The sequence below is a fragment of the Homo sapiens genome, chromosome 8 (assembly GCF_000001405.40).
Source record: "Homo sapiens chromosome 8, GRCh38.p14 Primary Assembly".
Lineage (NCBI taxonomy): Eukaryota > Metazoa > Chordata > Mammalia > Primates > Hominidae > Homo > Homo sapiens.
The window spans coordinates 22,416,788-22,439,873 of NC_000008.11; the positions used below are offsets into that span (position 1 = coordinate 22,416,788).

At 45.2% G+C, this 23,086-nt stretch overlaps 1 protein-coding gene and 1 pseudogene across 14 annotated transcripts in view, besides 1 other annotated feature; both read left to right on the top strand.

Moving 5' to 3' along the window:
* SLC39A14 (solute carrier family 39 member 14) overlaps nt 1-17,342 on the top strand; it is a 66,852-nt gene extending 49,510 nt beyond the window's left edge. For 13 of the 14 annotated variants that reach the window (NM_001351656.2, XM_006716324.4, NM_001351657.2 and 10 more), the window contains 2 exons: nt 864-1,048; nt 2,765-5,949. In NM_001351656.2, coding sequence (NP_001338585.1) covers nt 864-1,048; nt 2,765-2,911 — 332 coding nt within the window. In that variant the 3' untranslated portion in view covers nt 2,912-5,949. Of the gene's footprint in view, nt 1-863; nt 1,049-2,764; nt 5,950-17,103 lie in introns of those variants that run through there. The other variant, NM_001135154.3, reaches the window with a different exon arrangement.
* Nucleotides 7,286-7,486: a silencer, noted in NCBI's record as "peak6937 fragment used in MPRA reporter construct". NCBI's record gives its function as "represses an SCP1 promoter by STARR-seq MPRAs in K562 erythroleukemia cells {active_cell/tissue: K562}" and the evidence as "EXISTENCE:reporter gene assay evidence [ECO:0000049][PMID:32103011]".
* On the top strand, nt 17,604-17,710 carry RNU6-336P (RNA, U6 small nuclear 336, pseudogene; annotated as a pseudogene).

Consider the following 23,086-nt stretch of genomic DNA (forward strand, 5'->3'; position numbering starts at 1 on the left):
CAGGGGTGTTTGTTTCCTTTTAGCCCCATATGCAGTGGCTCAGTTCTCACCTATACAGTGGGGTTAATAAGAGCACCTCCTTTTAGAATAATAGTGAGGATTAAAGGAAAACAAAGGGTGAGAGGGACTTCCCATGTGCCAGGTGCTATTCTGAGCACTCAGTAAAGGCTCTCTTTTGTAGCCTGTTAATCTTCCAAAGGCTCAGGTGCCTGGCAGGTGCATGGCAGCTGGATGAACCAGGGGGTAGGAGGGACTTAGTTTGATCAGAGGGAGAGTGTAAAAAGCTAGTAATTACTCCAGAGGCTTTAGGGACGACGTAGGGTCAAGTTCTGGCTTTGCCATATATTGACTTGTGACTTCGGGCAAATCACTTCTCACAGTCTCGACACTTAACTTCTCGCAGTTTTGATTTTGTTTCCATGGTAGTTGTGAGGAAGGGGGTTCCTTCTGTTTCACTATGAATCCAGAGAGAAATGAGGAGGCCAGTGCCAGCTGGTCATCTATTTTTAAAATCCTGAGAAAGATTTTCAGCCTTTAGGCTGGGTATACGGCCAGTTTGGCAAATGGAGACGGGTCCTGAACAGGAAGTTCAAGGGCCTGTCTTGTCACTTCTGTCTTGAGTCTAGGGCTGTCTTGATTTTTTTCACCCACACTTTTAGCAGTCTGATGTCATCGGTGCCCTCTGTCTCCCACGACCTTGTATGACTGGCTCTCACTTTGTCGCCAGGCTGGATTCAAACTCCTGAGCTCAAACAGTCCTCCCAGCTGAGCCTCCTGAGTAGCTGGGATGACAGGTGTGCATTCACCATGCCCATCTTACTCTTCCTTCCTCGTCCCTCCCCTTTTCATTCTCGCTGCTGTAGGAGACTTTGTCATCCTGCTCAACGCTGGGATGAGCATCCAACAAGCTCTCTTCTTCAACTTCCTTTCTGCCTGCTGCTGCTACCTGGGTCTGGCCTTTGGCATCCTGGCCGGCAGCCACTTCTCTGCCAACTGGATTTTTGCGCTAGCTGGAGGAATGTTCTTGTATATTTCTCTGGCTGATATGGTAAGTGTTCCACAGTTCACTGGATGAGAGGGCGGCTAAGGGGATGGATGTTAGGTAGGTAGTTTTTTTTTATTTTTATTTTTTTGAGATGGAGTCTCACTCTGTCTCCCAGGCTGGAGTGCAGTGGCATGATCTCAGCTCACTGCAACCTCCGCGTCCCGGGTTCAAGTGATTCGCCTGCCTCAGCCTCCTGAGTAGCTGGGATTACAGACGTGTGCCACCACGCCTGGCTAATTTTTGTATTTTTAGTAGAGATGGGGTTTCCCCATATTGGCCAGGCTAGTCTCGAACTCCCGGCCTCAGGTGATCCACCCGCCTCGGCATCCCAAAGTGCTGAGATTACAGGCATGAACCACCGCACATGGCTGGTAGTTTGTTTTTAATAACATCTTCCTTAGCTTTCTTTCACATACCACAGAGTTCGTCTGTTTAAGGTGTACCTACCATTCAGCGGTTTTTAAGGGGGCATTAGATTTTAAAGGAGGAAAAGTTTATGTTTTTGTTAGCATATGTCATTAAAGAAAATGATTATAATTTATCTATGGTCTTTATTAATTATTATGGAATGGCTGTATATAGATAAGAGACAGAAGAAAGGAAAGAAAATTACGCATAATCATACATCATACTACCCCTAAAACAATAATAGCAATACTTTGGTTTGTTTCTTTTTTTATCTCAATGCATTGGGTGTGTCTTTTTCTTTAATTTTTTTTTTTTAGACAGAACCTCACTCACCTAGCCTGGAGTGCAGTGTGTGATCATAGGTCACTGCAACCTTGAACTCCGGAGCTTAAGTGATCCTCCTCCCTCAGTCTCCCAAGCAGCTAGGACTACAGGCTCCAGCCACCATGCCCAGCTAATTTTTTGAATTTTTATAGAATGGGGTCTCTATGCTGCCTAGGCTGGTCTTGAACTTGTGGCCTCAAGGGATCCTCCCATCTCAGCCTCTCAAAGTGCTGGGATTATAGGTGTGAGCCACTGCATCTAGCTTGTTAATAATATCTTGATAACAAAAAGACCTCTTAAAGTGTTTAAAGTCCATAATAAGGCCAGGCATGGTGGCAGGCACCTGTGGAGCTACTCAGGAGGCTGAAGTGGGACAATTGCTCGAGCCCAGGAGTTTGAGGCTGCAGTGAGCTATGTTCGCACCACTGCACTCGAGCCTGGGCAAGAGCGAGTGGAAAAAAGGAAAAAAAAAAGTCTATAATATAAAGTTTATTTTTTATCAGAGTACATTTATTTTTAGCCAGCCTCTAAACTCATCCAGAGCCACATACACGTTGAGTACTTTGTTTTACCTAGACAGTTGTAAAGACATGGTACCTGCTATTGTTAATTTTCTTTTTTTGTTTTGTTTTGTTTTGGAGATGGAGTCTCGCTCTGTTGCCCAGGCGGGAGTGCAGTGGTGTGATCTCCATTCACTGCAGCCTTGCCTTCCGGGTTCAAGCAATTCTCCTGCCTCAGCCTCCCAAGTAGCTGGGACTACAGGCCTGCGCCACCACGCCCAGCTAATTTTTATGTTTTTAGTAGAGACAGGGTTTCACCATGTTGGTCAGGCTGGTCTCGAACTCCTGACCTCTAGTGAGCCGCTGCACCTGGCCCTGATAATTTTCTTTGTCAACCAACCTGATCTATATCTCCATCACTGAATTGCCCTGGACTTACAAGATGAAGAAGGAATTGCAGCTGTGTTGTTTCTTGCTTCTTTCCCAGTTCCCTGAGATGAATGAGGTCTGTCAAGAGGATGAAAGGAAGGGCAGCATCTTGATTCCATTTATCATCCAGAACCTGGGCCTCCTGACTGGATTCACCATCATGGTGGTCCTCACCATGTATTCAGGACAGATCCAGATTGGGTAGGGCTCTGCCAAGAGCCTGTGGGACTGGAAGTCGGGCCCTGGGCTGCCCGATCGCCAGCCCGAGGACTTACCATCCACAATGCACCACGGAAGAGGCCGTTCTATGAAAAACTGACACAGACTGTATTCCTGCATTCAAATGTCAGCCGTTTGTAAAATGCTGTATCCTAGGAATAAGCTGCCCTGGTAACCAGTCTCTAGCTAGTGCCTCTTGCCCTCTCCTCACCTCCTTTTCTCTCAGTGACTCTGGAACCTGAATGCAGCTTACAAGACAAGCCTGACTTTTTTCTCTGATTACCTTGGCCTCCTCTTGGAACCAGTGCTGAAAGGTTTTGAATCCTTTACCCAACAATGCAAAAATAGAGCCAATGGTTATAACTTGGCTAGAAATATCAAGAGTTGAATCCATAGTGTGGGGCCCATGACTCTAGCTGGGCACCTTGGACCTCCAGCTGGCCAATAGAAGAGACAGGAGACAGGAAGCCTTCCCATTTTTTCAAAGTCTGTTTAATTGCCTATTACTTCTCTCAAAGAGAACCTGAAGTCAGAACACATGAGCAGGGTGAGAGGTGAGGCAAGGTTCATCCTGAATGGGAGAGGAAGTCGAACCACTGCTGTGTGTCTTGTCAGGATGCTCACTTGTTCCTACTGAGATGCTGGATATTGATTTTGTAACAGCACCTGGTGTTTCACGGCTGTCCGAGTGAGCTAACGTGGCGGTGTGGCTGCCTGGACCTCCTCTTTCAGGTTAACGCTGACAGAATGGAGGCTCAGGCTGTCTGCAAGAAAACAGTTGGTTTGGCTGTGATTTTGACCTCCTCTTCCCCACTGCCATCTTCTAAGAGACTTTGTAGCTGCCTCCTAGAAGCACATTCTGAGCACATTTGAGACCTCTGTGTTAGAGGGGAGACTGCACAAACTATCCTCCCCCAGGTTGAGACGTCTGCAGAGTGGCAAGCTGACTTGTAGAAATGGGGTGCCATTTATGCTCTACTTAGACAAGGGTAATCAGAAATGGAATCAGTGCAGGCAAAATTTAGGATTTGCCGCTTCCATAAATCAAAGCATGACTAATAGGGGGTCTCTGAAATGTAAGGGCACAAACTTCACTTAGGGCATCGCAGATGTTTGCAGAATGGTTGGCCTAATGATTATGCTACAGATGGGTTTTAAATGACCCGTCTAGGTTACTGCTTCCTTGCAAAAAAAGTCGAATCCTGCATTGAATTGAATATGAATTTCTCTAACTCTCTCCAGAAAATGGATGGAGATAACTTGTCTTTAAAACTGTAGGCCAGCCTTAGCCACTGTGGAGCCCTTGCCTCCGAGCTCTGGCTTCAAGGGGAGCTCTTCTCCAGGTTCACTAGGTGAATTGATTTATTATTATCATATTGATAATGTGAGATTCTTTAGCCACTTTGGGGAGCCTGTCTCTCCAGAAGCCTTTCTTAGTGGTGCCCACAGTTGGAGCCCAGGGGCCATGTTTGCAAACTGATTCATGTGCATGGCTGACAGGAGTACTGGTTCACTACCAATGCCTGAGCTTTTCTCTTACATAGAAAAACTGTCCGCTCTCAGTAATCACAAGCAGCATCCGTTTTGTTTTCTCTTCTTGGGAGACATCTGTCAAACCAGGAATATTCTTGAAAAGAACGTGAGCAGGAAAAACTGCTGGTGATACTTTTTTTAAGTTTTGTTTTTATCTTGCCTGTTGGCTTCAATACATTTGAGAATACGCTGAAGAGGGAAAATTTCAGTGATGGAGATTCTAGATTAAATATCAGGACTGATTTCCTGGTGGGATTATGGTCCAGTTTTACCAAAGAACCAATTCCTTGAATGTTGGAATCTAACTTTTTATATTGTCATTATTATTGTTGTTTTTAAACGGTTCTTTGTCTTTTCTGTTTTATTTTTCTCAAGCTGCTTTCAGGAGCTAGCAGAAAATAACTCAAAGTTGAAGACTCTGGAAGATTTTGCTTTAACCTAACTCGCATTGATGTATTAAATTTATAATTTTAGCATTCCCAATAGATCCTATCATTCCTTAAACATAATACCCTTTGTCTTGGAGTAGAATACTAAGTTAGAGTTAGTGGATTTCTAGTTTAGGAGAGGAGCTCAAAACTATAATCTTTAACAAATTGAAAAATGAAATAGGGTGTTTTCCCTTTTTGTGCACACCTATATTACCTTAAGAAATTTCCTTCCATAGACAGCTGCCTCAAAGGGAAATCCTCTTTAAACCGTAGTTGGCGCAGAGGTCAGTCCTAGTCGGAGCTTAGGAGGGGCGGAGACGCTCACATCGTCTGACTTGAGTCGCCACTGATTGTGGCAACAGCTTTGCCTCATGAGTCAAAAATTGGCAATTTCTTTTGATTTTTAGTTGTTGAATTTGCTGTTTCAAGCATTTGTACATATTAGAAGTCTAAGGAGTAGCAAGTCAGTGGGAGGACTTTTTCACCCCTGGCATTAGCAGCTTCGACCTCATTTTCCAGATGCACCAGCTCCTATTAATAAGTTAGCAAGGAAAGTGTATGTCACGTGCAGGAACAGTGAGGCAGGGACAGGGGTTCTGCTCCTTCTCACTTCACCACCGGCACACAGCTTGCCCCTGTCTTTGCCCCCAAAGGTATTTTGTGTCTAGTGTCAAATTGGAGCTATTCTTCACTGGTCCTTAACCTTGGGTTTTAAAAAGAAGGCTTCTCTGTTTGGGTAGCGTAAGAGCTGAGTATAGTAAGTCCTCTTCCAAAGAGATGGCAATATGCTGGGCATCTACTTTAAAACAAAGTTGTCTGATTTTTGCAAGAGAGGTTAGGATTTTATTGTTCTTATTTCCCTTTACAGTTCTGCAGTTCCATCACAGTATTTTTTTAAATAACTCAGGTGTATGAGAAGAAATTAGAAAAGAAAATTAACTTATGTGGACTGTAAATGTTTTATTTGTAAGATTCTATAAATAAAGCTATATTCTGTAATTGTTGAGAATCCCACGGGTGATCATTTGCAATAAATGTGGATGTAATGAAGGCTGTTGAACACAAGGTGGCGATGGTGTCTCACTGACGTACAAAGTTTTGTTTTACCAGGTCTGGTTTAACATTTGACTGGGATTTTAGAAGGTTTTTTTTGTTGTTGTTATTGAGACAGAGTTTTGCTCTTGTCGCCCAGGCTGGAGTGCAGTGGTGCGATCTCGGCTCACTGCAACCTCCACCTCCTGGGTTCAAGCGATTCTCCTGCCTCAGCCTCCCGAGTAGCTGGGATTACAGGTGCCCGCCACCACGCCTGGCTAAATTTTGTATTTTTAGTAGAGATGGGGTTTCGCCATGTTGTCCAGGCTGGTCTCGAACTCCTGACCTCAGGTGATCTGCCCGCCTTGGCCTCCCAAAGTCTTGGGATTACAGGCTTGAGTCATTGTGCCAGGCCAAGAAGGAAACTTTTGTACTCTCTTCTCTTTTCTTTCTTTGAGACAGTCTCACTCTGTCACCCAGGCTGGAATGCATTGGCACGATCTCGGTTCACTGCAGCCTCCGCTTCCTGGGTTCAAGCGATTCTCATGCCTCAGCTTCCTAAGTAGCTTGGACTACAGGCATGTAGTACCATGCCCAGCTAATTTTTGAATTTTGTTGTTGTTGTTGTTTTGTTTTTTTTTTTTTGAGACGGAATCTCACTCTATTGCCCAGGCTGGAGTGCAATGGCACGATCTCGGCTCACTGCAAACTCCGCTTCCCGGGTTCACGCCATTCTCCTGCTTCAGCCTCCCGAGTAGCTGGGACTACAGGTGCCCGCCACCACGCCCAGCTAATTTTTTGTATTTTTAGTAGAGACAGGGTTTCACCGTGTTAGCCAGGATGGTCTCGATCTCCTGACCTCGTGATCCCCCTGCCTCGGCCTCCCAAAGTGCTGGGATTACAGGCGTGAGCCACTGGCCATGATTTTTGAATTTTTAATAGAGATGGGGTTGCGCCATGTTGGCCAGGCTGGTCTCAGAACTCCTGACCTCAGGTGATTAGCCTGCCTCGGCCTCCCAAAATGCTGGGATTACAGGCATGAGCCACCGCGCCTGGCCTATACTCACTTTAATTGGTTTCTCTCTCTCTCTCTCTCTCTCTCTCATCTATCTTCCTATGTAGATAGATAACTGTTATCTACAGATAAAGTTTTATATCTATCTAGAGAGAGAGAGTGAGCTTGAACTCCCAGGCTCAAGCAATCTTCCTGCCTTAACCTTTTGAGTAGCTGGGACTAGAGGCGAGCACTACCATGCCTGATTAATTTTTTAATTTTTTTTTTTTTATAGAAACATCTTGCTACGTTGCCCAAGCTAGCCTTGAACTCTTGGCCTCCCAAAGTGCTGGGATTATAGGCGCAGATCACCAAGCCTGGCCAAAATCGATTAGTTTATCTCTTTCGGAGGCTGTGATCTCACTGTGTTGCATGATAGAAGAATTGTGGTGTTTCCAAGAAGACTTTTCTATCACCCTGTTTTCTCTTACATAAACTTGAAACTTGTAACGTTTGCTTAGTTTGTTTAAGCCACATTTCTATATCTTACAGGGAAAAGTCCTCTGTCAATGCGACTTAAAATGCTAAAGCTATTCCCATTCCAATTTAGTTGTAGGGTCAGGGATCTGTTTTTCTTCGACAACAGAAATGACCAGTAAGATAAAAAAAAAGTTGGTTCAATCTTATGACTACCTCCATTAGAGATTTTCAAATGCCTGTTAGTCCTTCCTTTGTTAAAACAAGAATAATATATGAAGTGGCTCGTGTTGGTCGTTTAATTTGCATTACCTCACTACTACGCCATTTGCTATTCAAAATGACATTCACACTGCCCTTCAGCTCCTGACACCTCGACGTCCTTTTCTGCCTACAGTCCCTCCTGCCTTTCCAGGAGTCTGTCTCTGCATACCTCAGTTACAGGACTTGCATTGTAATTGCTGTTCTTTGCATACCAAATTCCTTCTGGGTGGAGGGCGTATCTGGTTTCTTTCTGTGATGTCAGCACTGGCCATATGGAAAGAATGAATGAAAAAACTAAATGAGCCAGGTGCAATGGCTCACGCCTGTAATCCCAGCACTTTAGGAGGCCAAGGCAGGTGGATCACTTGATGTCAGGAGTTTGAGGCCAGCCTGGCCAACATGGTGTGAAACCCTATCTCTACTAAAAATACAAAATTTAGCCGGGCATGGTGGTGTGCCTCTGTAATCCCAGTTACTCAAGAGGCTGACGCAGGAGAATCACTTGAACCCGGGAGGCAGAGGTTGCAGTGAGCCAAGATCGTGCTACTGCACTCCAACCTGGGCAACAGAGTGAGACTCCGTCTCAAAAAAAAAAAAAAAAAAAAAAGACTAAATGAAATGTCTTTTAAGTTCTGTGTTGGTGGAGATGCTCACTTTCCATGGTGAGCAGTTCCTGTTGTGTCTTCCAGTCATCAGTGATGGTTTCGCTTATGCTTTATTACTCGGTCCACCTTAATTTAGAAATGTAAGTTTGAGAGAGGTGTACTTGTGGCCCACGTGGAACAGAGCTAAGCAAAGTAAACAGGCCATTAAGTAGATTAAAACCGTGACCTTAGCCATCTCTTTGTAATACTCTTAATCAGCTAAGCCATCTAGGACATTTTTGGTGGAAGGTGAAATAACTGAAATTCAAAAAATGCTATGAGTGTTCTCTCCTACTTTCTTCCTTCTGTGCACTTTACCATTCAGTGATGCTTGGATTGGATTTGGGCAAAACCCACTTCAAGAAATAGCAAACACACTAAATGTGGACGTAGTGTTTTTGATGCGTGGGAAAACATTGCATTCGTGATTGGTGGCTTTCGGCTGACTTTTTTTTTTTTTTAATAGTGGAAAAAAAATCAGTGGTTGGGAGCGATCCACAGGTCCTTTATCAGCCTTCAGCTAAGTATGCTTAGAACTGCCAGCCAAAAAACAGTTGTATTTCTTTTCAGCAGATGTCTATTCTTGCCAGATGTCTTTTCAGGAGTTTTTTGTTTTTGTTTTTGTTTTTTAATGAAGGAAGGGAGTTAATGGAGTATCCTTTGTAACAGCAATCCTTGATCCAGCAGTGGGTCAGATTCCAAGATGGTAGCATCAATTATGGTTAAGGAATAATCCCAAAGTGTTCTGACCCTGGCAATCATAAGCCAAGAAGTTCTTCTACTAGGCTCTAGATGGTTTTTGTTTTTTTTTTGTTTTTTTTTGAGCAGAGTTTTGCTCTTGTTGCCCAGCCTGGAGCACAATGGTGCGATCTCGGCTCACCGCAACCTCCACCTCCCAGATTCAAGCGATTCTCCTGTCTCAGCCTTACCAAGTAGCTGGGATTATAGGCATGAGCCACCAAGCCTGGCCAATTTTGTATTTTTAGTAGAGATGAGGTTTCTCCATATGGGTCAGGTTGGTCTCGAACTCCCGACCTCAGGTGATCCGCCCACCCTGGCCTCCCAAAGTGCTGGGATTACAGGCGTGAGCCACCGCGCCCGGCTTGTTTTTATTTTATTTTATTTTGAGACAGGGTCTTGCTCTGTCACTCAGGCTAGAGTGCAGTTTCTCGATCATGGCTCGCTGCAGCCTCAATCTCCTGGGCTCAAGTGATTCTCCCACCTCAGCTCCCAATTAGCTGGGGGTACAGGCATGCGCCACCACACCTGGCTAATTTTGATTTTTAGTGGAAAGGAGGTCTCGTTAAGTTGCCCGGGCTGGTCTCGAACTCCAGGGCTCAAGCAATCCTCCTGACTAGGCCTCCGAAAGTGCTGGGATGACAGGCATGAGCCATTGCACCCAGACTCTCTAGATGTTTTTCTACAACCGGTTTACTTATAGATTTGTGGAACACTGAGGTTCCCTAAGAATAAACTCAGGCAATAATCCACACAGGTTTTCACAAATCCATTCGTGTGACACAAAGCCATCAGGAATCTCCCAGAGGAGGCTCCTGAACAAGGAGTTTTTTTGATGAAGTAATTCTAAATGATATGCTCTCTCTCTTTTTTTTTGAGATGGAGTCTCACTCTGTTGCCCAGGCTGGAGTGCAGTGGTGTGATCTCAGCTCACTGCAACCTCCGCCTCCCAGGTTCAAGCAATTCTCTTGCCTCAGCCTCCGAAGTAGCTGGGATTTCAGGCATGTGCCGCCATGCACAGCTAATTTTTGTGTTTTTAGTAGAGATGGGGTTTTCGCCATATTGGCCAGGCTGGTCTTGAATTCCTGACCTCAGGTGATCCACCCACTATGGCCTCCCAAAGTGCTAGGATTACAAGCATGAGCCACCACGATCAATGTGCTCTCTTAAAATATGGTTTGTTGGGGCCGGGTGCAGTGGCTCATGCCTGTAATCCCAGCACTTTGGGAGGCCAAGACAGGCGGATCACCTGAGGTCGGGAGTTTGAGACCAGCCTGGCCAACATGGAGAAACCCTGTCTCTACCAAAAATACAAAATTAGCCGGGTGTGGTGGCACACCCTGTAATCCCAGCTACTCGGGAGGCTGAGGCAGGAGAATCGTTTGAACCCAGGAGGCGGAGGTTGCGGTGAGCTGAGGTCACGCCATTGCACTCCAGCCTGGGCAACAAGAGAACAAGAGTGAAACTCCATCTCGAAAAGAAAAAATAGGGTTTGTCTTCCTGCGTTTGGCTAACATTTTAAATGCATCAAAATCAAAGAATGACCCAAGCTAATTAATAGGACATTCACCCCAAAATTTGATGTCAACCTTTGGGTTTTAAGAAGGAAAACAACTAATTCAATAAAGGGAATCATTTTCTTGCTTAAAATAAAGGATTAGGTCTTTAATTATAAATGCTAGTAAGGAAAAAAAAAAAACCTCTTTGATCTTGAGTATCCTCCCAGAATAGGCGATTCTTTCAAGTGGCATCTTCTCTATAACTTCTTGAAGTTTATAAAAACAAGCTCTTTTGAAGCCATTGTCTGGTTGTATTCTATAGATGTGGCCCTTGAAGTGAAATATCTTACGCTGCCAAATTCACACAATTTAAGCATTTAGTGATTCTGCAAATATTGTAGGATTCTTTCCCCCTCTTGAAAATCAAGAGAACAGGAGAGAGAGATGGAATTTACATTTTTCTTTTCTGGGAAAGCTGATTTAAACAAAGGGATCATACTGATTTTTCAGTATACATGATTCAGTGAACTAGTCTAACTAAAAGGGTGGTAAAATCTAAACAGACTGGGTGTGGTGGCTCACACCTGCAATCCCAGTGCATTGGGAGATTGAGACAGGAGGATTGCTTGAGGCCAGTATTTGAGACCAGCCCAGGCAACAGTGAGACCTGTCTCTATAAAAAATAAAAATCTGGCCTGGTGCGGTAGCTCACGCCTATAATCCTAACGCTCTGGGAGGCTGAGGCGGGTGGATCACCTGAGGTCAGGAGTTCAAGACCAGCCTGACCAACATGGGGAAACCCCTGTCTACGAAAAATACAAAATTAGCTGGGTGTGGTGGCGCATGCCTGTAATCCCAGTTACTTGAGAGGCTGAGGCAGGAGAATCACTTGAACCCAGGAGGTGAAGGTTGCAGTGAGCTGAAATTGCGCCATTGCACTCCAGCCTGGGCAACAAGAGCGAAACTCTGTCTCAAAAATAAAATAAAATAAAAATCTAAACAGAGATCTCAATATCATCTTTATCTGGCTTTAAGGTATATTCCCACAAATCTGTTTTTCTAATAATGCTCAACTTAGCTTAGTAGAAAAATTTTGTGTTCCTCGGTTCATATGTTCTTTTTTTTTTTTTTTTTTTGAGACTGAGTCTCACTCCATTGCCCAGGCTGTAGTGCCGTGGTACGATCTCAGCTCACTGCAACCTCTGCCTCCCGGGTTCAAGCGATTCTCCTGCCTCACCCTCCTGAGTAGCTGGGATTACAGGCGCATGCCACCACACCCACCTAATTTTTGTATTTTTGGTAGAGACAGGGTTTCACCATGTTGGCCAGGCTGGTCTCGATCTCTTGACCTTGTGATCCGCCCAGCCTGGCCTCCCAAAGTGCTGGGATTACAGGCATGAGCCACTGCGCCAGGCCAGTTCATGTGTTCTTTTAACATTTTGTTTGAAATGGAGGCTGACTGCATGGAAGACTGCCTTGATCTAACTGATGATTTTGTTTTTTCACTGAAAAACTTAAAGCAGCCTTGTAAACTAGTTTAAATGGGAGAATCCTTGGAAAAGTGTTGATGTTTGGTAATTTTTGAGCAAACGAAGGTAAGAACCAATGCAAACTTACTTCCCCAGAGTTCTGCATTGTGTCTTTGTCTTGAAAAAGAACACAGAATGGCCAGGCGTGGTGGCTCACGCCTGTAATCCTAGCACTTTGGGAGGCCGAGGCGGGTGGATCGCAAGGTCAGGAGATCGAGACCATCCTGGCTAACACGGTGAAACCCCGTCTCTACTAAAAATACAAAAAATTGGCTGGGCGTGGTGGCGGGCACCTGTGGTCCCAGCTACTCGGGAGGCTGAGGCAGGAGAATGGCATGAACCCGGGAGGCAGAGCTTGCAGTGAGCCAAGATCTCACCACTGCACTCCAGCCTGGGCGACAGAGCCAGACTCCGTCTCAAAAACAAACAAACAAAAAAAGAACACAGGATTTTGCATCCATAGGAATGGATTCATGTCAATTCCATCATTGACTATCTGTGTGATCTCTAACATGTTTAACCTCTCTGCACCTCAATATTTTTATGAAGTAGAAATTATAATTTTATACTGCCTACCTTATAAGGTAGGTATAAGTATAATGAGAAGTAAATATGCAAAATGTTTTAGAAATTAAAGCTCTGTACTAGTAGTAATTAACATTTTGTTCTTTGGATTCCTTTGAGAATCTGAAAAATACATGATTGCTCATACACACTCATAGCATGTGTAAATATACTCCAACCTTTAATTTCATTTATAATTGGGAGCAGCATGGGGATGGGAGGTAGACGAGAAGGGAATGATCTCCTGAAGCCCCTGTGCCCCAGGTGAAAAACTTCTGCTGCAGACAAGAGTAAGATGAAATCCATTCATTCAACAAATTGTTGAGCTCCAACTCTGCCAAGCTTGGCATGACATAGCAGTGAAAGATCCTTCCCTTAAGGAGTGAGGGGAAATAAACAAAAACCAAGTGCTACAGATAAATTAACACGGGGGAGTGAGGTAGGGAATGGGCAGACAGGGATAGAGGTGATCAGGAAAGGGCTCTAACCAGATGACATCTGAGTTGAGCTTTGTGACTGTAGAAGAATGTTCTAAGCCAAAGGGCCGGCCAACGCAAGAATGCTGAGACAGAAATAAGCTTCATCTATTTGAGGCCAGTATGTGTAAACAGCAGAAACAAGGCCAGTCTGTCTGGACTGCAGCAGACATGAGGGAAGAAGGTTGGTGGGAGCTCAAAGTTGACAGGAGTCAGACCACTTCGGGAAAGGAGAAGACATTTGTTTTTGTTTGTTTGTTTTAGAGATGGGGTCAGAGGTCACTGCAGCTTCAAACTCCTGGACTCAAGAGATCCTCCCACCTACCTCAACCAGCCTGGCTAATTTAATTTTTTTTTAGAGACGGGGTCTCACTAAGTTGCCCAGTCTGGTCTCCAAGTCCTGGGCTCAAGTAATCCTGCTGCCTCAGCCTCCCAGAGTGCTGGGATTACAGGCGTGGGCCATCGCCCTTAGACCACAAGAGAGTTTTAACCAGAGGAATGACAAATCAGTTTTATGCTTTAAGTTTAGAAAGATCTGCTGTATAGGAAAATAGACGGTAGGGGGAGGAAGTTGACAGGATACAGTGTGTGGAAAGGCGTCCCTGATTCTAAATTTTTGGTCCAAGCAACTTGAATGCCAGTGCTGTTTACCTTGGTATCTTACCTGTGGAACCACCAAATGTGTTATGTACTGGTTGCCACCATTTTCTCCTGTTCTGCAATGATGCAAACAACAACAGTCACAAGCAGGAAGTGACGGCAGCTTTGGGGCTCCCAATTCTTTTTTTTTCGTTTTGGAGACAGGGTCTTGCTCTGTCGTCCAGGCTGGAGTGCAGTGGTGTGATCTCGGCTCGCTGCAAACTCCACCTCCTGGGTTCAAGCCATTCTCTTGTTTCAGCCTCCTGTGTAGTTGGGATTACAAGCCTGTGCCATCATGCCCAGCTAATCGTTGTGTTTTTAGTAGAAACAAGGTTTTACCATGTTGGCCAGGCTGGTCTTTAACTCCTGGCCTCAAGTAATCCGCCCATCTCGGCCTCCCAAAGTGCTGGGATTATAGGGGCGAGCTGCCGCAGCCGGTCTGGGACTCCCAATTCCCTCTTTTTTTTTTTTTTTTGATGGAGTCTCCCTCTGTTGCCCAGGCTGGAGTGCAGTGGCGTGATCTCAGCTCATTGCAACCTCTGCCTCCTGGGTTCAAACAATTCTCCTGCCTCAGCCTCCTGAGTAGCTGGGACTACAGGCACGTGCCACCACACCTGGCTAATTTTTTGTATTTTTAGTAGAGACAGGGTTTCACTGTGTTAGCCAGGATAGTCTCGATCGCCTGACCTCATGATCCACCTGCCTCAGCCTCCCAAAGTGCTGGGATTACAGACGTGAGCCACCGTGCCTGGCCTATATAGTGCTTTTCATATAAAATTGCAGATTATACATTATAATATACCTTTTGTTTTGTGTAGCTATTTTAGAAATGCTCATTTTACTATGGTTTTTAAAATATTCTACAGTTCTCTTACCTGCATTTAACACAGAAGTTGAACATTTAATGGCTTCATATAAATAGAAACTGACGCCAGGTTACTTTCACACAACAGTGGAAACAAGGGTTCCCTGTGCTTTTGTTAAATTAAAAGTGTTCATAATTATGTCTCAGAGGAGCTGGTCATTAATCAAGGTTTAGGAAGCGCTTAGGGAGTTTCATGAGGAAATACACCAAAGCTCACAAGCCCTGTAAGAAGGAAACCCAGATTTGAAGAAATGTGTAGAAATGATAGTTAAACATGAATCTTGGTTATTTCAAATATTTATGTCTTCTGACTGACCAATGCAGAAAATAAAAAAAAGTGGGGGGATACAAAATTCACCAAGTGGACATCTGGCCAGGTGGAGAGATCCACCAGCTGAATGAAATTGGGCTCTCCAATGATTCTTGAGAATTGTTAATGTCTAAAAACACCACCACACAAGCAATGAACTTAAACCTAATTTGTTATGGAAAACAATTGTTTGGGAAGGGAGCTCAATTAGAGCTTTCTTCTTTTTAAATTTTCATGGAGTGGCTCTAGATGTTTTGTTTGTTTTTGTTTTAATCAGAAAAGACATTGAGAAAGCAATGAATGTTTAACTCTATTGGAACTAGGCCACTAAAAGAAAAGAGCAGCCGGCACGGTGCCTCATGCCTCTAATCCCAACACTTTGTGAGGCCAAGGTGGGAGGATCGCTTTAGTCCAGGAGTTCCAGACCAGAGTGGGCAACATAGGAAGACCCCCCATCTCTAAAAAAAGAAAAAAATAGCTGGACATGGCAGTGGCATGCCTGTGGTCCCAGCTACTTGGGAGGCTGAGGTTAGAGGATCACTTGAGCCCAGGGAGATAGAGGCTGCAGTGAGCTATGATCATGCCACTGCACTCCAGCTTGGGCGACAGAGCAAGACCCTGTCTCAATAAATAAACATATAAATAAATAGGTGAAGATAAAGAAAAGTGCTTCCTTCTTTTTCTTTCACTCTGTCTCTCTTTCTCTCTGCTCCTTCCCTCCCTTCTCTCTCTCTTCTCCCTCCTTCCTTTTTCTCTCTCTCTCTCTCTTTTTCTCTCTTTCTTTCTTTTAGAACAGGGTCTTGCTCTGCCACCCAGGCTGTAGTGTGGTGGTGTGATCATGGTTCACTTCAGCCTCAACTCCCTGGGTCCAAGTGATCCTCCTACCTCGGCCTCCCGAGTAGCTGGGACCACAGGTGTTCACCACCGTGCCCGGCTAATTTTTTTTTTTTTTTTTTTGAGATGGAGTCCCGCTCTTGTTGCCCACGCTGGAGTGCAATGGCATGATCTCAGCTCACTGCAACCTCCGGCTCCCAGGTTCAAGCGATTCTCCTGTCTCAGCCTCCCAAGTAGCTGGGATTACAGGCACCCGCCACAACACCCGGCTATTTTGTTTTTTTTTTTTTTTTGTAGAGATGGGTTTTACCATGTTGGACAGGTTGGTCTCGAACTCCTGACCTCAGGTGATCCACCCACCTCAGCCTCCCAAAGTGCTGGGATTATAGGCATTAACCATCGTGCTCGGCCACCTGGCTAATTTTTAAAAAAAATTTTTGGTAAAGATGGGGTCTCCCTATGTCATTGCCCAGGCCGGTCTGGAACTCCTGGGCTCAAGCGATCCTTGTGCCTCAGCCTCCCAAAGTGCTGGGATTACAGTCATGAGCCTCTGCACCTGGCCTTATTTTCACCTATTTATAAAGCAATACTTTCTCACCACAGAAAATTGGAAAGATAAAGAAATTTTTTTTATTACACCACCAAGTGATGGCTACTGTTCACATTTTTTTCCTTGATAGATTATGCTCAGTGAGGGTATGAATTATGTCAGTTTTGGTTCGTTTCCATATCCTTAACACAGTGCCTGGCACACAGTCCACACCTAATTCATACTTGTTGAATGAGTATATTAATATTTTCTTGAGGTCTTTTATTTTTAAAGAAATGGAGTCTTGCTATGTTGTCCAGGATGGAGTGCAGTGGCTATTCACAGGCAAGAAAATAGTGTAATATGACCTCAAACTCCTGGGCTCAATAGATCCTCCTGCCTCAGCCTCCCAAGCAGCTGGGACTACAGGTGAATACCACTATGCCTGGCTTAAGACTTTTATTTTATGCTTTTTTTTTTTTTTTTTTTTTGAGACAGGGTCTCACTCTGTCACCAAGGCTGGAATGCAGTGATGCGATCTTGGCTCACTGCAGCCTTAACCTCAGAGACCGCCCACCTCAGCCTCCCAAGCAATCCTCCCATCTCAGCCTCCCAAGTAGCTGGGACCACAGGCGCATGCCACCACACCTAGCTAATTTTTCTGTATTTTTTATAGAGACGCGGTTTCACCATATTGCCCAAGCTGGTCTCAACCTCCTGAGCTCAAGTGATCTTCCCGCCTTGGCCTCCAAAGTGCTGAGATTACAGGCGTGAGCCACTGCACTCGGCCATGTTTATGTTTTTGTTTTTGTTTTTTTAGATGGAGTTTTGCTCTGTTGCCCAGGCTGGAGTGCAATGGTGCCATCTCAGCTCACTGCAACCTCTGCCGCTTGGGTTGAAGCGATTATCCTGTCTAAGCCTCCCGAGTAACTGAGCCAGCCATGTTTGTTAATAAAAATGGGGACAATACTGTATATATATGGTTATATTTTAGCTTTTTCACTTTTCAGTATCTCCTGAGGCTTTTCTCATGTCATTAAATATTTTTCTAATTTAAAATATGGTATTTCCTAACTGCATGATGTTCCATTCAATCATATTTCATGTAACCATTTTTCCTATATGGATGAAATCATATAGTAGATATCATTTTGTGGCTTGCTTCTTTTGCTCAGCGTAATGTATTTTAGAGGTTCATTCATGTTGTTGCCTGTAGCAGTAATTATTTCTCTTTTATTAGCTGAATAGTATTCCATTCTATGGAATTTTACAATTAACATCTAAAAAAAAATAATGAACTGCTTATAGGAGGGAAGCTGGGTGCTCTTTTCCACAGCACACATACTAAAATAGGAATGATACAGAGAAGATTACCATGGCTCCTGTGCAAGGATGACACACACATTTGTGAAGCATTAAAAGAAAAAAAAAGAAGGAAACTGAGGGCAGGGAAATAAGTGAGAATTTACTTTTCTTCTACATACTTTTGCAGTATTTAATTTTTTTCTTTTCTTTTTTTTTCTTTTTTTTTTTTTGATACTGAGTCTTACTCGCCCAGGGTGGAGTGCAGTGGTGCAATCTCGGCTCACCGCAACCTCCGCCTCCTGGGTTCAAGCAATTCTCCTGCCCCAGCCTCCTGAGTAGCTGGGACTACAGGCGTGCGCCACCACGCCTGGCTAATTTTTTGTATTTTTAGCAGAGATGGGGGTCTCACCATGTTGGCCAGGCTGGCCTCGAACTCCTGACCTCAGGTGATCCACCCACCTCGGCTTCCCAAAGTGCTGGGATTACAGGCATGAGCACCATGCCCAGCCTTTAATTTTGTTAAACCATGGGCATGTGTTACTTTTAAAAATATATATTTAAAGCATTTAAAAAATTCTGAGAGCAGAGTTGGGTTCAAGTTGTACTTTGAACTACCTGTGTGACAGTGGGTAAGTGGCTTGATGTCTCTGGACTCATTTCCCTCACCTGTAATATAATAATGTTGGTCCATATGAATCCTTGGTCTTTGGCCTCTTAGATACTCCAATTGGCCAGTTATCTTTTGAATCAAACTTTATCTACTGAGGCATACTAAATTATTACATATAAGGAATGGAGGTGATTAGTGATTCATTATATCCACAAACACCTACTGAGCAACCACAATATAAATGGGCCATGCTAGAAACTGGAAATATAGGCTGGGTGCAGTGGCTCATGCCTGTAAATCCCAGCACTTTAGGAGGCAGGCCGATGTGGAAGGACCACTTGAGGCCAGGAGTTCCAGACAGACTGGGCAACATAGCAAGGCCCCATCTCTGCAAAAAAGAAATTAAAAAAAGCTGGGCCTAGTGGTGTGTGTCTGTAGTCCCAGCTACTCAGGAGGCTGAAGTGGGAGGATTGCTAGAGGCTAGGAGTTGGAGGCTGCAGTGAGCTATGACGGTGCCACTGCACTCTAGCCTGGGCAACAGAGAAGATCCTGTCTCAAAATACATAAATAAATGACAATTTTTAAAAAAGAAGAAACTGGATATAGTCTCTGCCTTAATAGTCTAGGTGGGGAAAACAGCCACATGTGAATAAATAATATCCTCCATGCATTAGGTGGTTGATCTGTTTACAAAACGCTCTTGGTCCACAGAGGAAGGCTTTACCTCTACCTGGATGGATTAAGAAAGGCTTCAGAGAGGTGAGTATAACAGGGCTGGATCTTAAGGGCATGGCTGAACTTGTGAGTCGAAGTAGAGAAGGAAGGGTGTTTCCAGGATATAAGGATCAAATATCCAAAGGAGTGGAGCCCTGAACATATCCACTATATTCCAACCCCATGCCTCTGTACAGCTTTGCCCAACCTAGGACACCTCCCTTCCTCCTTGCTGTTCACATCCCATCCTTCCTTAGAGGGCTGCAGCCCTGAAAAAACATAGCAAATGGTTTCAAGTGGCCGGCCTGAAAGATCTCATGGGGCTACGGACAGAGAGAAGCTGTAGAGGTGAGTCAGGGTCAGGCTGGGAAGGAACTGTTGGGCCAGGTTAAAGGGTTCAAACTCGATCCCAAGGGCGCCAGGGAGCCACTGAAGGGAGATGAGGAGCAGAGTCAATAGTCAGATTTTCTGTACAAAGTTGACTCTGGGCCAGGTATGGTGGCTCACACCTGTAGTCCCAGTACTTTGGGGGGCTGAGGCAGGAGCATTGCTTGAGGCCAGGAGTTGGAGCCCAGCCTGGGCAACATTGCAAGACCGAGTCTCTACAAAAAATTTAAAAAATTAGCTGAGTGTGGTGGTGTACACCTGCAGTCTCAGCTACTCAGGAGGCTAAGGTGGAAGGATTGCTTGAGCCTGGGAGGTTGAGGCTGCAGTGAGCTGTAATCATGCCACTCCAGCCTGGGGGACACTCCAGCCTGGGGGACAGAGTGAGACCTTATCTCAAAAAAAAAAAAAGTTGATTCTGGGGTCAATGTGGACAATGGATGAAGATAAGAGGTCAAGACCAAAGACTCAGGGACCAGTTAAGAAGCTGATGCAGCGGAGGGTTAGCCCCTATTCACTCCCAGCCTTTATGCCCTGAGAATAGCTGATTCTATTACAGAATCAGTTGAGATGGATTCCCGCAGAGAGCAAGACACGTTCCCTGTGTCTGCCCCAAACAACCCAAAGTCTTTTGAAACCTCTACTAGGATGGGAAAGCACCAATGCGATGGGTGAAGGTTTCTGGTGGTCTCAGCTTATACAGATCAAAGCCTTTCCAACCTGGTTTCCTCCCGGAGAAATCCATGGATCTAACGCCCTCTTCCAAACACAGAGATAGAAAGTGAGGAGAACTATTAGGAGCAGGGCTGCAATCCCAGCTATCGGGAGGCTGAGGCAGGGAGAATTGCTTGAACCGGGGAGGCGGAGGTTGCAGTGAACCTAGATTGTGCCACTGCACTCCAGCCTGGGCAGCCTGGGCGACAGAGTGAGACTCTGTCTCAATTAAAAGAAAAAAAAAAAAGAAAAGAAAAGAAAAAGAAAAGAAAACATTGCAAACCAATGGGAAGGGATGTATTATTCAATAATAGTAATGGAAAAATTAACCGACTACTGTATTTAGATCTCAAGTTGGGGCCATCTCATAACATCCAAATAAAATGAACCTCATTTAATGTGTTCCTATAGTTCAGTCTGTTCTCACAGCAAGCTCTGGAGCCTGAGTTGTACCACAAAGATATTCTTACCTTGAGGCAAACTTAGTCTGACCTGGAGGCCCTGATAGCCATTGCCCCTAGGACTGGGGGAGGGATGGTCATAACTCCTTAGGGGAAGGGGCGCCCATTCAACCTAAGGCAATTCTCTGGAGAAGGGGCAGCAATGAACTGTCAGCCACCAGCCCTCAAGAAACAGGCAGAGTACGGTAGCTCATGCCTATAATCCCAGTACTTTGAGAGGCCGATGCAGGAGGATCACTTGAGCCCAGCAGTTCAAGGCTTCAGTGAGCTATGATGGCACCACTTCACTCCAGCCTGGGCAACAGAGCAAGACCTCATCTCTCTCTTAGAACAAAAACAAAAACAAAAACAAAAACAGCAGCAACCAGAAGATGGTTATCCCTCATGGTGAAGGGGATCTGGGCAGGGCATCCCCGCCTCTGCTACAGGGAGGGCCTATTAATATTATCATCCCCATATTACAAAAGAGGAAAGCAAGGCCTGAGAAGTGAAGGAACTTACCCATGCCCACAGCTGGAAGTGATGGTATCAAGGTCTGTTGGGTGTCACTGGCTGTTGCTGGAAGACTAAGCAGCTATTGAAACAGAGGACCAGCAAGGAACTTGGAGAAAGGCAGAGCTACTGAGTGAATCTCCTTAGAAAGGGGTGGGGAAGGCCGAGGCGGGCAGATCACGAGGTCAGGAAATCGAGACCACCCTGGCCAACATGGTGAAACCCCATCTCTACTAAAAATACTAAAAATACAAAAAAATTAGCTGGGTGTGGTGGCATGCGACTGTAGTCCCAGCTACTTGGGAGGCTGAGGAAGGAGAATCACTTGAACCCAGGAGGTGGAGTTTGCAGTGAGCTGAGATCACGCCACTGCTCTCCAGCCTGGTGACAGAGCGAGACTCCGTCTCAAAAAAAAAAAAAAAAAAAAGTGGGGGTGGGGACACGAAGGGACAGGGCTGCAAGTTGCTCACAATTACTTTGCTAAAGCCAAGCTACAGAATGACATCTGGATTCTGTAAATTCATGTATACCATGCTTGAGGACTCATGCCGCATATTCCACGTGGTGCTATAGAAAAAGTTCGTGGTGCTATAGAAAAAGTTCAGGTACTGCACGTCTCTTGACGATGATGGTGTTCACTAAGCCTCCTACCAGCTCTGTGACTTTGGGCAAGTTTCTTCACATCTCTGTGCCTCAGTTTCCTTATCTGTAAAATGGGGATAATCATATAAATGGGGTTGGTGTGAGGATTGAACGAGTTAGTATTTGTGGGGTTTTTTGGTTTTGTGTTTGAGATAGATGGAGTCTGTCTCTGTGCCCAGGCTGGAATGCGGTGGCACCATCTTGGCTCTCTGCAACCTCCGCCTCCCGGGTTCGAGCGATTCTCCTGCCTCAGCGTCCCGAGTAGCTGGGACTACAGGCGTCCACCACCACGCCCAGCTAATTTTTGTATTTTTAGCAGAGATGAGTTTTTGCCACGTTGGCCAGGCTGGTCTCAAACTCGTGACCTCAGGTGATTCGCCCACCTCAGCCTTCCAAAGTGCTGGGATTACAGGCATTAGCCACTGTGCCCGGCCTGCAACGTTTTCTTTTTCTTTTTTTCTTTTTGGAGACAGTCTCGCTCTGTCACCCAGGCTGGAGTGCCGGGGCGTAATCTTGGCTCACTGGAACCTCCGCCTCCCGGATTCAAGCGATTCTCCTCCCTCAGCCTCTCGAGTAGCTGGGATTACAGGCATGTGCCACCACGCTAGGCTAATTTTTGTATTTTTAGTAGAGACGGGGTTTCACCACGTTGGCCAGGCTGTTTTCAAACCCCTGACTTCAGGTGATCCGCCTGCCTTGGCCTCCCAAAGTGCTGGGATTACAGGCGTGAGCCACCTTGCCCGGCCCGCAATGTTTTTTCTTTCTTTCCTTCTTTCTTTCTTTATTTTATTTTTTTTTTGAGACGGAGTCTCGCTCTATTGCCCAGGCTGGAGTGGTGCAGTGGCGCGATCTCGGCTCACTGCAAGCTCCGCCTCCCGGGTTCACGCCATTCTCCTGCCTTAGTCTTCCAAGTAGCTAGGACTACAGGCGCCTGCCACCACGCCCGGCTAATTTTTTGTATTTTTAGTAGAGACGGGGTTGCACCGTGTTAGCCAGGATGGCCTCGATCTCCTGACCTCGTGATCCACCCACCTCGGCCTCCCAAAGTGCTGGGATTACAGGCGTGAGCCACCCCACCCGGTCTTTTTTTTTTTCTTTTTTGCCGGCCCGCAATGTTTTCTTAAACTTTTTATTTTTAGCTATCCTGTTGAGGTTCTTCCAGATGAATTTTAGCCTCTGACCCAGGGGTATGATTTGATAGGCGTGGAGTTCTGGTTACTTCTTAAATGAAGAGTTTCCCCAGGATATCTGAACAATTCTCTTGGGTGGAAGACTCAAGGATCATGAAAACGAAAACCAAATTCTAGTCGGCTCCTAAAGTCCTTTTGCCTCCTGCGGTTACCATCAAAGAGCTATGGTCAAAATTCCAAGGGATAATTCAGGGTCTGATTCCACTATATATCCCCAGACCGCCTATACATAAATCCATATTATTGGAGATTTACGCTTAATCCTATAATCTTTTACCTAACAGCTGTCCA